The following is a 14,934-nucleotide window of genomic DNA, read 5'->3' as shown; positions in this document are numbered from 1 at the left end:
CCTTAAATGTATATGGGCTAAATGCTCCAATTAAAAGACACAGACTGGCAAATTGGCTCAAGAGTCAAGACCCATCGGTGTGCTGTATTCAGGAGACCCATCTCATGTGCAAAGACACACATAGGCTCAAAATAAAGGGATGGAGGAAGATCTACCAAGCAAATGGAAAACAAAAAAAGGCAGGGGTTGCAATCCTAGTCTCTCATAAAAGAGACTTTAAACCAACAAAGATCAAAAGAGACAAAGAAGGCCATTACTTAATGGTAAAGGGATCAATTCAACAAGAAGAGCTAACTATCCTAAATATATATGCACCCAATACAGGAGTACGCAGATTCATAAAGCAAGTCCTTAGAAACTACAAAGAGACTTAGACTCCCACACAATAGTAATGGGAGACTTTAACACCCCACTGTCAACATTAGACAGATCAATGAGACAGAAAGTTAACAAGAATATCCAGGAATTGAACTAGCTGTGCACCAAACGGACCTAATAGACATCTACAGAACTCTCCACCCCAAATCAACAGAATATACATTCTTCTCAGCACCACATCGCACTTATTCCAAAATTGATCACATAGTTGGAAGTAAAGCATTCCTCAGCAAATGTAAAAGAACAGAAATTATAACGAACTGTCTCTCAGACCACAGTGCAATCAAACTAGAGCTCAGGGTTAAGAAACTAACTCAAAACCACTCAACTACTGGAAACTGAACAACCTGCTCCTGAATGACTACTGGATACATAATGAAATGAAGGCAGACATGAAGATGTTCTTTGAAACCAATGAGAACAAGATACAACATACCAGAATCTCTGGGACACATTTAAAGCAGTGTGTAGAGGGAAATTTATAACACTAAATGCCCACAAGAGAAAGCAGAAAAGATCTAAAATTGACACCCTAACATCACAATTAAAATAACTGTAGAAGCAAGAGCAAACACATTCAAAAGCTCGCAGAAGTCAAGAAATAACTAAGATCAGAGCAGAACTGAGGGAGATAGAGACACAAAAAACCCTTCAAAAAAATCAATGAATCCAGGAGCTGGTTTTTTGAAAGGATCAACAAAATTGATAGACTGCTAGCAAGACTAATAAAGAAGAAAAGAGAGAAGAATCAAATAGATGCAATAAAAAATGATAAAGGGGATATCACCACTGATCCCACAGAAATACAAACTACCATCAGAAAATACTATAAACACCCCTATGCAAATAAACTACAAAATCTAGAAGAAATGGATAAATTCCTGGACACATACACCCTCCCAAGACTAAACCAGGAAGAAGTTGAATCCCTGAATAGACCAATAACAGGCTCTGAAATTGAGGCAATAATTAATAGCCTACCAACCAAAAAAAGTCCAGGACCAGATGGATTCACAGCCGAATTCTACCAGAGGTACAAGGAGGAGCTGGTACCATTCCTTCTGAAACTATTCCAATCAATAGAAAAAGAGGGAATCCTCCCTAACTCATTTTATGAGACCAGCATCATCCTGATACCAAAGCCTGGCAGAGACACAACAAAAAAAGAGAATTTTAGACCAATATCCCTGATGAACATTGGCACAAAAATCCTCAGTAAAATACTGGCAAACCAAATCCAGCAGCACATCAAAAAGCTTATCCACCATGATCAAGTGGGCTTCATCCCTGGGATGCAAGGCTGGTTCAACATATGCAAATCAAAAAATGTAATTCATCATATAAACAGAACCAAAGACAAAAACCACATGATTATCTCAATAGATGCAGAAAAGGCCTTTGACAAAATTCAACAGCCCTTCATGCTAAAAACTCTCAATAAATTAGGCATTGATGGGACTTATCTCAAAATAATAAGAGCTATCTATGACAAACCCACAGCCAATATCATACTGAATGGGCAAAAACTGGAAGCATTCCCTTTGAAAACTGGCACAAGACAGGGATGCCCTCTTTCACCATTCCTATTCAACATAGTGTTGGAAGATCTGGCCAAGGCAATCAGGCAGGAGAAAGAAATAAAGGGTATTCAATTAGGAAAAGAGGAAGTCAAATTGTCCCTGTTTGCAGATGACATGATTGTATATTTAGAAAACCCCATCGTTTCAGCCCAAAATCTCCTTAAGCTGATAAGCAACTTCAGCAAAGTCTCAGGAGACAAAATCAGTGTGCAAAAATCACAAGCATTCTTATGCACCAATAACAGACAAACAGAGAGCCAAATCATGAGGGAACTCCCATTCACAATTGCTACAAAGAGAATAAAATCCAACTAGGAATTTGGGAATCCTAGGAATCCAACTTACAAGGGATGTGAAGGACCTCTTCAAGGAGAACTACAAACCACTGCTCAATGAAATAAAAGAGTATACAAACAAATGGAAGAACATTCCATGCTCATGGATAGGAAGAACCAATATCGTGAAAATGGCCATACTGCCCAAGGTAATTTATAGATTCAGTGCCATCCCCATCAAGCTACCAATGACTTTCTTCACAGAATTGGAAAAAACTACTTTAAAGTTCATATGGAACCAAAAAAGGTCCCGCATTGCCAAGACAATCTTAAGCCAAAAGAACAAAGCTGGAGGCATCATGCTACCTGACTTCAAACTATACTACAAGGCTATAGTAACCAAAACAGCATGGTACTGGTACCAAAACAGAGATGTAGATCAATGGAACAGAACAGAGCCCTCAGAAATAATACCACACATCTACAACCATCTGATCTTTGACAAACCTGACAAAAACAAGAAATGGGGAAAGGATTCCCTATTTAATAAATGGTGCTGGGAAAACTGGCTAGCCATACGTGGAAAGCTGAAACTGGATCCCTTCCTTACACCTTATACAAAAATTAATTCAAGATGGATTAAAGACTTAAATGTTAGACCTAAAACCATAAAAACCCTAGAAGAAAACCTAGGCAATACCATTCAGGACATAGGCATGGGCAAGGACTTCATGTCTAAAACACTTAAAGCAATGGCAACAAAAGCCAAAATTGACAAATGGGATCTAATTAAACTAAAGAGCTTCTGCACAGCAAAAGAAACTATGATCAAAGTGAACAGGCAACCTACAGAATGGGAGAAAATTTTTGCAATCTACTCATCTGATGAAGGGCTAATATCCAGAATCTATAAATAACTCAAACAAATTTACAAGAAAAAAACAAACAACCCCATCAAGAAGTGGGCGAAGGATATGAACAGATGCTTCTCAAAAGAAGACATTTATGCAGCCAACAGACACATGAAAAAATGCTAACCATCACTGGTCATCAGAGAAATGCAAATCAAAACCACAATGAGATACCATCTCACACCAGTTAGAATGGTGATCATTAAAAAGTCAGGAAACAACAGATGCTGGAGAGGATGTGGAGAAATAGGAACAATTTTACACTGTTGGTGGTAATGTAAACTAGTTCAACCATTGTGGAGGACAGTGTGGCGATTCCTCAAGGATCTAGAACTAGAAATACCATTTGACCCAGCCACCCCATTACTGGGTATATACCCAAAGGATTATAAATCATGCTGCTATAAAGACACATGCACACGTATGTTTATTGCGGCACTATTCACAATAGCAAAGACTTGGAACCAACCCAAATGTCCATCAATGATAGACTGGATTAAGAAAATGTGGCACATATACACCATGGAATACTATGCAGCCATAAAAAAGGATGAGTTCATGTCCCTTTTAGGGACACAGATGAAGCTGGAAACCATCATTCTCAGCAAACTATTGCAAGGACAAAAAACCAAACACTGCATGTTCTCACTCATAGGTGGGAATTGAACAATGAGAACACTTGGACACAGGAAGGGGAACATCACACACCGGGGCCTGTTGTGGGGTGGGGGGAGGGGGGAGGGATAGCATTAGGAGATATAGCTAATGTAAATGATGAGTTAATGGGTGCAGCACATCAGCATGGCACATGTATACATATGTAACGAACCTGCACATTGTGCACATGTACCCTAAAACTGAAAGTATAATAATAAAAAAAAATAAGGTGTACATAATAATTTAATGTAAAAAAATGAAAATGAAGAGCATGGCAAGGAAGTCTACAAATCAGAGACTGGTAATTTTTCCTCTTTTTTGTCTCTGGTGATACCAGGTGCTGTCACAGGCTCTGGTTCTCCTTTCTGCCACCTCAGTTCCAGAGTCACCAAGAATTCAGAGTAGGGAATAGTTTGGGCCAGAGGCTCTCCTTTCTGCCACCTCAGTTCCAGAGTCACCAAGAATATGGAGTAGCAAATAGTTCGGGCCAGGGGCAGAGCCGGGCCCACCAGTGTCATTGAGATGGCCAGTAGTCCTGAGAATGTGACTGTGGGTGCCCTGGCTAGCGGCTGGACTTCCCCTGTGAGGAGAACTCCTTCCTCTTCTAACCATGAAAAGTTCCTACTATAAGTTCCCTGTGGCTTAGGAGGGAACTGGTGCTGTGTGTGTGCTTCCAAGAAGAGGGTAGGAACAGGGGGGGCCTGAGCCTCTGGAAGCTGTCCTGTGACCTGGCACCACAGCAGGCTGTGTGCTGCCTCCTCGTGTGCGCATCACAAGAAGCTCCGAAGTACAATTTTATTCTTTTCTCTCATGTCAAAGTTCACGCTGAAGGAATGTCTCCCATTGTCTGCTGGACAGCTCTAGACGTATGGCCCTGATTCCAATCTGGAGGTGGCGGCTATTCCAGTAATAGCCTCGTCTGGATCATTCTGGCCTCCTTGAAAACTGACTCAAAAGGCTACAAACCCACCTCTAAGAGTGGTTTTAAAAGTTTTGAAGATACTGGAAAAACCTTGGAAAGTATTTGGAATAAGGTATAATTGTAACCACGCCACGGAAAAAACAGATTGTTTTGGGTCATGCCTATCCCCTCATCTGAAAAAAAATCTCAGCAGGTTGCCAGACACTCCTTAGCAGCCAAAGAAATTGTGGTTTTGAGCTGTTGCTATTTCTAGAAACTTCATAAAGTTAATTCTGAAGGAACAGGGTGGAGACCGAGAATGGAAGTGTGCTCTTTTAAGGCATTTTTAGCAACCAGACAGTATTTGCCTCAGGCTCAGGAAGCCCAGCAGGGCCTGAGAATCTTGTTCCACTCTCTCTCTGCAAGGCTGGCCGGTGCACGGTGGCCACCAACATCAGGCAGCTCGTGGGGGATGCACAGCATGCGATCGATTGTGGGGCGTGATCGATTGCGGGACGTGATTGCGGGGCCTGATCCATTGCGGGGCGTGATTGATCGTGGGGTATGATCCATAGCCGCTTTCCATCCTAGCCGCTTCTCCTTTCTGCCCTTGCATTCAAGTACACGCACAGTTCTTGAGCTCCTAGTACACTCACGGCCACTGTTGAGTACTGGCCTCCCCTTTCTAGCTGGTTTTCCTTGCAGTTCCGTTTTCATATTCACAAACTTCTGAACTTAAATGGTCACTCAGTGGCCCTCACTAGTGATCATTTAGCAGTTCATTTTGTCACTTGGCTCTTTTTGTTTTTACCTTAGAAAACATTCTTTTCATTTATTTGTTTAAAAACTTAACGAGCTTGTTGGTTTCTGGGTTAACAGGAAACCCAAAACACTGCAGCTGCATGGATTGAACTGGACGTGATGTGAAATGAAATAAGCCAGACACGGGAAGACAGATTCCTCATGTTCTCACTCATGTGGGTGCTAAACATTTTCAAAGTAAACTCATGGAGATAGCGAGTAGAACGCTGGGTCCCAGAGGCTGGGAGGCATAGCAGGGAGGCGGGGAGTAACTGGGATGGCTACTGGGCACAAAAATACAGTTAGAATGATACGATCTAGTATTTGGTAGAACAATAGGGTGACTACGGTTAATAATTTATTGTTTATTTAAAAATAACTAAAAGATTGGAATTGGAATGTTCCTAACACGGAGAAGTAACAAATAACTTGGGGTGATTGATAACCCAGTTACCCTGATTTGATCATTATACATCGTATGCCTGTATCAAGACTTCACAGGTACCCCATAAATATATATATAATGATTATATACCCATAATAATTTTTTACAAAACACCCTAAAACATTATGGAGCCCTCTTGCCATTCTGTACTCCAAGGAGTAGGACAGCAGTTACACCAGTAATCCAAAGTGGATTTATTTGTTGTTGTTTGTTAGTGTTTTGTTTTAGAGCCAAGGTCTCCCTCTGTCACCCAGGCTGGAGTGCTGTGGTGTGATCATAGCTCAGTGTATCTTCAAAAGTCCTGGGCTCAAGAGATCCTCCCGCCGCAGCCTCCCGAGTACAGGTGTGTGCCCCCGCACCTGGGTACTTTTTATTTTAGTTTGTTTTTCGTGGAGACTGGATCTCTCTAATGTTGCCCAGGCTGGTTTTGAAATCCTGGTCTCAAGCGACCCTCTCACGTCAGCTTCCCACATGCTGGGATTCCAGGCGTGAACCACTGCGCCCAGCTAGATTTATATTTGATGTGGATGTGATTCTATAACATTTTCCCACAGCATGACTATCCCCCAGTGGAACTGTATAAAGATTAATACATATGACCTCAGGTAAAGGGTTGGCCTAGAAGAATTTTGGGGATATAGAAGATTCACCCTGAGAATATCTTGGATGCCTGGGTCCTGCTCATCAACCTGTCACTTAACTAGTATGTGACCTCTCACCTCATGGACGTCTCTGTACCCTTCCTGGCCTTTCTCGAAAGACTTCAGCCCTTCCGACCCTGTGGATCGGTGTGTAGTTACATAAGGATATGATGCCAGGTGATGATATGTTCTCTCTTCCTCACAGAGTGAAGGCTGCACAGACTGAGTTAGGACAGCAAATCCTGGCAGATTTTGAAGAAGCGTTTCCTTCCCAGGGCACCAAGGTACTGCTTTGCGTTTCCCCAGTCTTTAGAGATGATCACCATCCTTGCCGAGCTCACGCTCACCCCAGTCACCATGTGGTTATCATTCCAGTCATGCTCGCTGGCAGCTGCAAATCCTTCTGCTGCAGGTTCAGGGTAATGAGACCACCCTGGATTTTAAATGTCCCTAGGTGGTGGCAGTTCCTCCTCTGTTTCCTTCCAGCCTCAGAAAGAGAGGATTTGTTTGGGCTTAATTTGATGTAGGTCTCAAACCGTCTATCTTGTATGCCCTGTCAATTCCTTTTTTCTCATGGCTGTATTTAAAAGAAATCTTCATGCCGCGGTGTTTTTAGGATTGTTACATAACTTACTGGTTTTGGTTTGGTGAAAAGACAACTGGGTGGAGCATCCACCATCTTATGTAACTCTCAGAGTGATATAGTGAGGAGCCTCACTGTTACTGACCATAAGCCTGCTCTTCGGAATTCATGCCCTTGAGCTCTCTCTGGTAGCAGAGCTGTTTGTGTTGTGTCTGCAAAGCCCACAGCATTTCACTTGGGAGCTGTTGGTTGCACTTCTCATGTAACAAGCTGCCATCCTGCTTGGGGAACTGCTTTTAGCTCCACCCTTCCAACTGTAGCAGATGCCATCTTAGCGCCTAGCATGTGTCGGACAGGAAAGAACCCATACGAGACTTTTTCTCTATTGTTTGAGCTATTTCAAGAGAAAGAATTGTTCAAGGCAGAAATATACTGAAGCACTTAGGGGCAAGGAGCCTCACCCTACTCGGTGGGTAGAGATGGGGACATACATTCATTTACTGATCCAAGGAACATTTCCTGCATCTGCTCTGTAATTCAATAACTGGAAATATCTTAATTATTTTTTCTTTGTGTTCCATAAAAGAAATGTAGGAAGTAAGTGGGAGTAGCGGCCCCAGCTTTTGCCCATCACTTTCTATAGGAAGCCCGCTCCTGATTTTAATGTCTTCACATTTTGTGGCTGTCTGCTAGTAATCAGATGCTTATTTGTAAAGCACTTTCCTTGGAGAACCTCATATTCCTTAGTCATCTGATATAACTGCAGGGAGGGAGTAGATATTGGAAAGCCATTAGTCCTATTTATTACATGAGGAAAATGAAGGTCAAAGAAGTGAAAAGGGATTGTGGGGATATTCGCTCATGAGAAGCACTGGGCTCTTCTTAGGACAAGGTTAGCCTCACGTGTACTCAGCTGCCCGTTTCAGGTTTTTTTTTTTGTTTGTTTGTTTGTTTTTTTTTTGACGGAGTTTCACTCTTTGGCCCAGGCTAGAGTGCAATGGTGTGATCTCAGCCCACTGCAACCTCCGCCCCCTGGGTTCAAGTGATTCCTGCCTCAGCCTCCCAAATAGCTGGGATTACAGGCACCTGCCACCACACCTGGCTAATTTTTGTATTTTTAGTAGAGACGGGGTTTCTCCATGTTGGCCAGGATGGTTTCGAACTCCCAACCTCAGGTGATCCGCCCGCCTCGGCCTCCCAAAGTGCTGGGATTACAGGCATGAGCCACCATGCCCAGCCACTCATTTCAGTTTCTAGAAGTTTCAGGAAGATGTGGATGAAGCCCATCTTTATTGTTTAGAAGAGGCCTGCTTTATATTTTTTTTCCCAGATTCCACCGGGCAGATGAAATTAAAATGGTTCTCTTTAACAACATGCCTCCCTTTTCTCTGGCATAGTGACTTCGTGTGTGTGTGTGTGTGTGTGTGTGTGTGTGTGTGTGGTTTTTTTTTTGTTTTGTTTTTAGTTTTCTTTTCTTTTCTTTTTTTTGAGATGGAGTCTTGCTCCGTTGCCCAGGCTGGAGTGTCGTGGTGCGATCTCGGCTCACTGCAAGCTCCACCTTCCGAGTTCATGCCATTCTCTTGCCTCAGCCTCCTGAGTAGCTAGGACTACAGGCACCCGCCACCACGCCTGGCTAATTTTTTTGTATTTTTTTTTAGTAGAGATGGGGTTTCACCATGTTAGCCATGATGGATCTCGATCTCCTGACCTCATGATCTGCCTGCCTTGGCCTCCCAAAGTGCTGGGATTACAGGCGTGAGCCACCGCTCCCAGCCTAGTTTTCTTTTTAAAGACTATGGGCTTTTCTTAAAGGCCTTGTGTTACTATTTCCATTTCACAAGTGGGAATTAAGATTTTTAAAAATTTTTCCAAGGCACAACCTAGTAAACTCTTTGTAAATGAAAAAATCTGAACCCGTGAACCCATAGGTTTTGGCATCTATGACTTCTCTATCAGGTCACTTTCATCCTGAAGTGAGAATTGAGAAGTTAGGGTGTTCAGCAGATGACATAAAAACCACTCAGCATGGAGTAAGTCAACATTTTAAAAACTCAGGTCTCAGGCAGCTTATATAACACTTTAGAAGCGTGGAACTTCAGTTGAGATGGGTGGAATTGGAAAGAGTTGACAAAAAATAAAGATTTAGAAGAACCTTACTTATCACCTAAAGTCTATTATTTTTCATATGAGGTGAGCAAGTGCTCCAAAGCTACATGCATGGCTTTTTAGCCAAGCCAGGAGTAGATTCCAAGTGTTCTTTTTACTGTAGTCCACTTAGCCAGTCATGTTCACTCAGTGACGTACTGTAAAGAAAGTCTCAGCAAAACTTTGGTCATTGAATTGCTTTTGGTAACAAAGACCTTCCCGTCGTGATGCGTCAGTACAGCGCCTGGTATCTTTCCAGTGTTCGCTCAGGTCAGGAGGCCAGTATCACAGCATTTTCTCTTTGGCTGCCTTTCTAGGTAGTTCACTATTGTGAAACACATGTCGTGGCTTGGAACCTGGTTTTATGTGTTAAGGGAGACCACACTATTTGGCAAAAACATAGCACTTTAAGAACAGGAATCCCAGAGGTTGGAGTCAGGGAAGAGTGGCACATGTGGAGTGAGGCTGGTGGCATTCCAACTCTTAGGAGAGAGGCTGGTGGCATTCCCACTCTTAGGCCTCTTCAGCAGCATCTTGCGACATCAGAGACCAGTGGCATTCTGACTTTTAGATCTCTTTCAGTTTTGGTTTGCAGAAAGTCAAATTTCCCGTGATCATTACTGCCCATTTCCCAAAATATCTCATTGCAGATTCACAGGGTAGTTTTTCTGTCGCTTGCTGTAAAACGAGTGTAAGGATTCCATCCTCGAGGAGCAGCAGGTAACTGACAGATCCAGCCACAGCAGAAAGAATGAGTGTGAAGGAGCAGGAGTAAGACTGACAATGCGTAGAGATAACAAGTAGTGGCTGTGAGAAGCCATGAGGTTTAAAGGTTGTTTCTGGCTTTTCACCTGGTACATGTTTGTTTTACTAGAGACCAGGAGGACCCAGCAATGTTCTACGAGATGCATGTCTGGTTGCTAATATTCTAGATCCCAGGATCAAACAGGAAATCATCAAAAAGTTTATTAAACAGCATCTGTCAGAGTATCTGGTACTTTTTCAAGAAAACCAAGATGTGAGTATTGACCAAATAAGATCAGATGTAACATTTGAATTTTATTGAAACATGAGTGCTGTCAAGCCTACTAATTTAGACCTCGTATTACATGACTGTCTGACAGTGTTGGTTGTTGAGCTGTGAGTCCTAGGGGCTGAGTTTATAGTTCTTAACCATTTTGAGGTCACTGACCCTTTGGAGAAATTCAGAAACATGCACCTGTGCATAAAATTCTGCATATAGTTTCTGGAAATGTATAGACCCCTGAAGGCCAATCATGGACCCCAGGTTAAAAACCTCTGGATTTTGTGTGTGTGTGTGTGTGTGTGTGAGACGGAGTTTCGCTCTTGTTGCCCAGGCTGGAACGCAGTGGTGCGATCTCAGTTTACTGCAACCTTGCCTCCCGGGTTCAAGCAATTCTCCTGCCTCCCCCTCCCAAGTAGCTGGGATTACAGGCGCCTGTCACCACACCAGGCTAATTTTTGTATTTTTTAGTAGGGACGGGGTTTCTCCATGTTGGTCAGGCTGGTCTCGAACTGACCTCAGGTGATCTGCTGACCTCGGCCTCCCAAAGTGCTGGGATTATAGGCATGAGCCACTGCGCCCAGCCAAAAACCTCTGAATTTTTAAGTAAAAAATCAAGTTAAAAAGGTAGCCTAGATTCTTTAAAACCATGAGAAATACAGAGGTTGGTTCCCTTTTGCTTGGCTCTGTGTTTTTGCTTGTTTCCTTGAACTGCCATTTCTACTTCTAACCACTGGGGTGGCTTTTGATCTCCACCTTCACCAGGTTGCCTGGCTGGACAAAATCGACAGACGCTATGCCTGGATAAAACGCCAGCTTGTGGACTATGAGGAGAAATACGGCCGCATGTTTCCACGTGAGTGGTGCATGGCTGAGAGGATTGCGGTGGAATTTTGCCATGTGACAAGGTAGATGCCAGTTCTCTACTGGTTCTGTGGTTAATCAAATTTTCACCATCGGTTCCCCAGTCTCTAATGGTTCCATGTTGTCCTGTGGATTTGATGCCACTTCCAGACCCCACCAGATGACTAATATCATCCTCGTACCCCACAGTGGCCCCACCAGCTGCTCCCTCTGCCCCCATCTTTGCTCTGGGACTTTCCGTGGTGTAGTTCTTGCCTCAAGCCATCTCTACCTTCTCCACCAACTCAAGGCTTATACACCAGATTGACCTACAGTGATTCCTCTACCCCACGTTTTCCCCTAGTCGGTATCGCATGTATCAGTGTGCTGTGTATATATCCCATCATCATTTTTATTTTCTGACTTGCTAGATAGATAGTTCCATAGAGACAGGGTAGTATCTACCTTAATGATATAGCAGACACAGAGGAAACATTTGTTGAATGAATTTCCCACTCCCAATACAGTGTGTATAGCCTCTGGATAGTTCAGAGCTTTTATTTCAAGACAGAATCACTCTGTCACCCAGGCTGGAGTGCTGCAGTGATACAATCCCAGCTCACTGCCACCTCCATTTACTGCATTCAAGTGATTCTCATGCCTCAGTCTCCCAGGTAGCAAGGATTACAGGTGTGTGTAACCACACCTGGCTCATTTTTGTATTTTTAGTAGAGATGGGGTTTCACCACGTTGGCCAGGCTGGTCTTGAAGTCCCGACCTCAGGTGATCTGCCCGCCCATTTTAGCCTCCCGAAGTGCCGGGATTACAGGCATGAGCCACTGCACCTGGCCTGCGTCTGAGCTTTCCAAGCATTTTAAAGACCGTCTTTTGTTCATCCTCTCTACGTTATCCATGAGTGTAGCCCAAGGACAGATAGTCTCTTTATATTAAAAAAACCCAAAGCCCAGGAAGGTTAAATCAGTATATCTATGACAAAGCTAAAGCCAGAGTCAGACTTTTTTTTTTTTTTGAGACGGGGTCTCACTTTGTCACCCAGACTGGAGTGCAGTGGTGTGATCATGGCTCACAGCAGCCTTGACCTCCTAGGCTCAAGTGATTCTCCCACCTCAGCCTCCTGAGTAGCTGAGATGACAGGTGTGTGCCACCACACCGGCTAATTTTTGTGTGTGTATTTTTTGTAGAGACAAGAGTTTTGCTGTGTTGTTCGGGCTGGTCTTGAACTCCTTTTATTCTTTATTTGCGGCTAGACTACAACAGTGTTGGTAACTGGTTCTTATTAGTTATATATTTCCTCCCAGTAGTACACAGTTAGATCTAATGCTGGGTGAAAAAGAGAAAAAAAAGCCCATATCTAGCATAACTCAACCACCTTTTCCCATAATCCATGGCCGTCTTTTTTATTAAAATCATGGAAAGTAAAGTCAAATTGCATGTTTCAAACACATTGTGGGGCAAAAGTGTTTTAAGGGATATTGGCTTTTCTTAAAATAGATTTTACCTTTTAGAGCAGTTTTAGGTTCACAGCAGAATTGAGCAGAAGACACAGAGAGTTCCCAGGTGCTCCCGGCCCCACGTGCATAGTCTTCCCCATGGTCGGCACCTTCCGCCAGAGCGATGCATTTATCACAGCTCATGAAACTACACGGACACATCATCATTACCCAGAGTGATGGTCCATAGTTCATGGTAGTGTTCACGCTTGGTGTTCACATACATTCTGTGTGGCTTTTTTTTTTTTTTTTAAGAGATGGGGGTCTCGCAGTGTTGCCCAGGCTGGAGTACAATGGCTATTCACAGGCATGGTAATAGCGTACCCCAGCCTTGAACTCCCGGGCTCAGGCAGCCCTCCTGCTTCAGCCACCCAAGTAGCTGCAACTACAGGTGCACTGAGCTCCATTCTGTGTGGCTGTTATTCTAAGAAACACATTGGGCCAGGCTTGGTGGTTTATGCCTATAATCCTAGCATTTCAGGAGGCCAAGGCAGGTGGATCATATGAGCCTAGGAGTTTGAGACAAGCCTGGGCAACATGGCAAAACCCCATCTCTACAAAAAATGCAAAAATTAGCTGGTCATGGTGGCAAGCACCTGTAATCCCAGCTACTAGAGAGGCTGAGGTGGGAGGATTGCTTGAGCCCAGGTCAAGGTTGCAGTAGGCCATTATCATGCCATTGCACTCCAGCCCTGGGTGACAGAGTGAGACCCTGTCTCAAAAAAAAAAAAAGAAGAGAGAGAAAGACAGAGAAGGAAGGAAGTGAGGAAGGGAGGGAGGGAGGGAGGGAGGGCGAGTGGAAGGGAAAAAGAAAGAAAGAGGAAGAAAAAAAAAGAAACACATTGACTCCTGTAGATTTAGAGAACCTTTTAGCATTGGTTTAAGATGAGTTGAGATTGTCACCTTCTAAATCCCAATTAACAAAATAAAGAGTGAATTCCTTGAGAAACTGTTAGCTAATTCTTTTTAGCCTACAGTTCAGCAGACTTGCAAACCAGCTCAGTGAGAAATGGAGCCTGGGAGAGGCTGGACGTATGCTAGAGCCAGCACGTTTCTTGTGAGCGCCAGTACCTGCCATTGTTGTCTCGGCTAATGGCAGTGTTGCTGCCAAGCTTCTATTGTTAGAATTTTGGCTAAAATCCTACAGATACATCATTCTCAAATAAACTCAGAGACTCTTTGTTTCATTTTGTCATTTATTTGTGTGAGAAGATGGTAGCTTAGTCCTTACTAAGAACTCACATGTCCCTGTTCACCAGCAACTGAGCTTCTGAGATGGAACGTTTGAGTGAGAGCTGCACAGGAGCTTCTCGGGCAGGGACCAGCTAAGCGTGCTTGCCACTTTTCCCGCAGGGATCCTGTCCCTTGCGTGTGTTTCCAGGACTCCTGCTCTCTAGTTGAAGAGATGATTATTGGGCCCTCAGGAAGAGGGAGGGCTTTATAATTCAGTAATTAATGACTTGTGAAATTATATAGGCTATATACACTAATAAAAAATTAGGTGCTCCATATGTATTATTATCCAATTATTAAACTGTTCAAAGATACAGGCAACGTAGTAACTATGTAACCAAATTACTGGTGGCTCACACCTATAATCCCAGCACTTTGGGAGGCCGAGGTGGGCGGATCTCTTGAGGTCAGGAGTTTGAGACCAGCCTGGCCAACATGGTGAAACACTATCTCTACTAAAAATACAAAAAAAAAAAAGAATCATTTGAACCCAGGAGGTGGAGGTTCCAGCCTGGGCGACAGAGGGAGACTCCATCTCAAATAAATAAATAAATAAATAAACAAACAAATAAATATAAGTATATATATATCATCCATGACCCCTGATTTTTTTGCCTGGTGGATAATTTCACCTTAAAAATCTTGTTTAGAATATGTATTTCTATTCCCCAGGTTTTAGACTAAGGTGGTAACAGACCTCAGGGTTTGAAATGACCACATACATTTTTTTTTTCTGAATATAAGCTAAGGCCATTTACCTTATCTCTACTGAATGAATGATCAGCTTGTTTGATAGTATTCTTATCTCTTTGTTTTGAAGGGCAGAACTTGCCAAGATTATGCGTACCAGAGCGAAGGAAATTGAAGTGAAATTGCTTCTTTTTGCTATTCAAAGAACAACTAACTTTGAGGGGTTTCTTGCAAAACGCTTCTCCGGCTGCACCCTGACCGATGGGACCCTGGTAAGACCTTCCCTAGGGAGCTGCCACGTGAAATCAGTGGGTTG

At 43.2% G+C, this 14,934-nt stretch overlaps 1 protein-coding gene across 12 annotated transcripts in view; it reads left to right on the top strand.

Annotated features, from left to right (window-relative positions):
- The window catches only part of VPS53 (VPS53 subunit of GARP complex), a 206,172-nt gene that overhangs the window by 76,417 nt on the left and 114,821 nt on the right, over window positions 1-14,934 (top strand). For 10 of the 12 annotated variants that reach the window (XM_047436345.1, XM_047436344.1, NM_001128159.3 and 7 more), the window contains 4 exons: window positions 6,795-6,873; window positions 10,192-10,335; window positions 11,107-11,249; window positions 14,749-14,890. In XM_047436345.1, the coding sequence (XP_047292301.1) occupies window positions 6,795-6,873; window positions 10,192-10,335; window positions 11,107-11,249; window positions 14,749-14,890 (508 nt within the window). Of the gene's footprint in view, window positions 1-5,581; window positions 5,680-6,794; window positions 6,874-10,191; window positions 10,336-11,106; window positions 11,250-14,748; window positions 14,891-14,934 lie in introns of those variants that run through there. The other 2 variants (NM_001366254.2, XM_047436349.1) reach the window with 1 other exon arrangement.

The sequence above is a fragment of the Homo sapiens genome, chromosome 17 (assembly GCF_000001405.40).
Source record: "Homo sapiens chromosome 17, GRCh38.p14 Primary Assembly".
In the NCBI taxonomy this organism is placed as follows: Eukaryota; Metazoa; Chordata; class Mammalia; order Primates; family Hominidae; genus Homo; species Homo sapiens.
The sequence above is the reverse complement of the archived record's forward strand: the minus strand, read 5'-3'. Positions and strand labels throughout refer to the sequence as shown.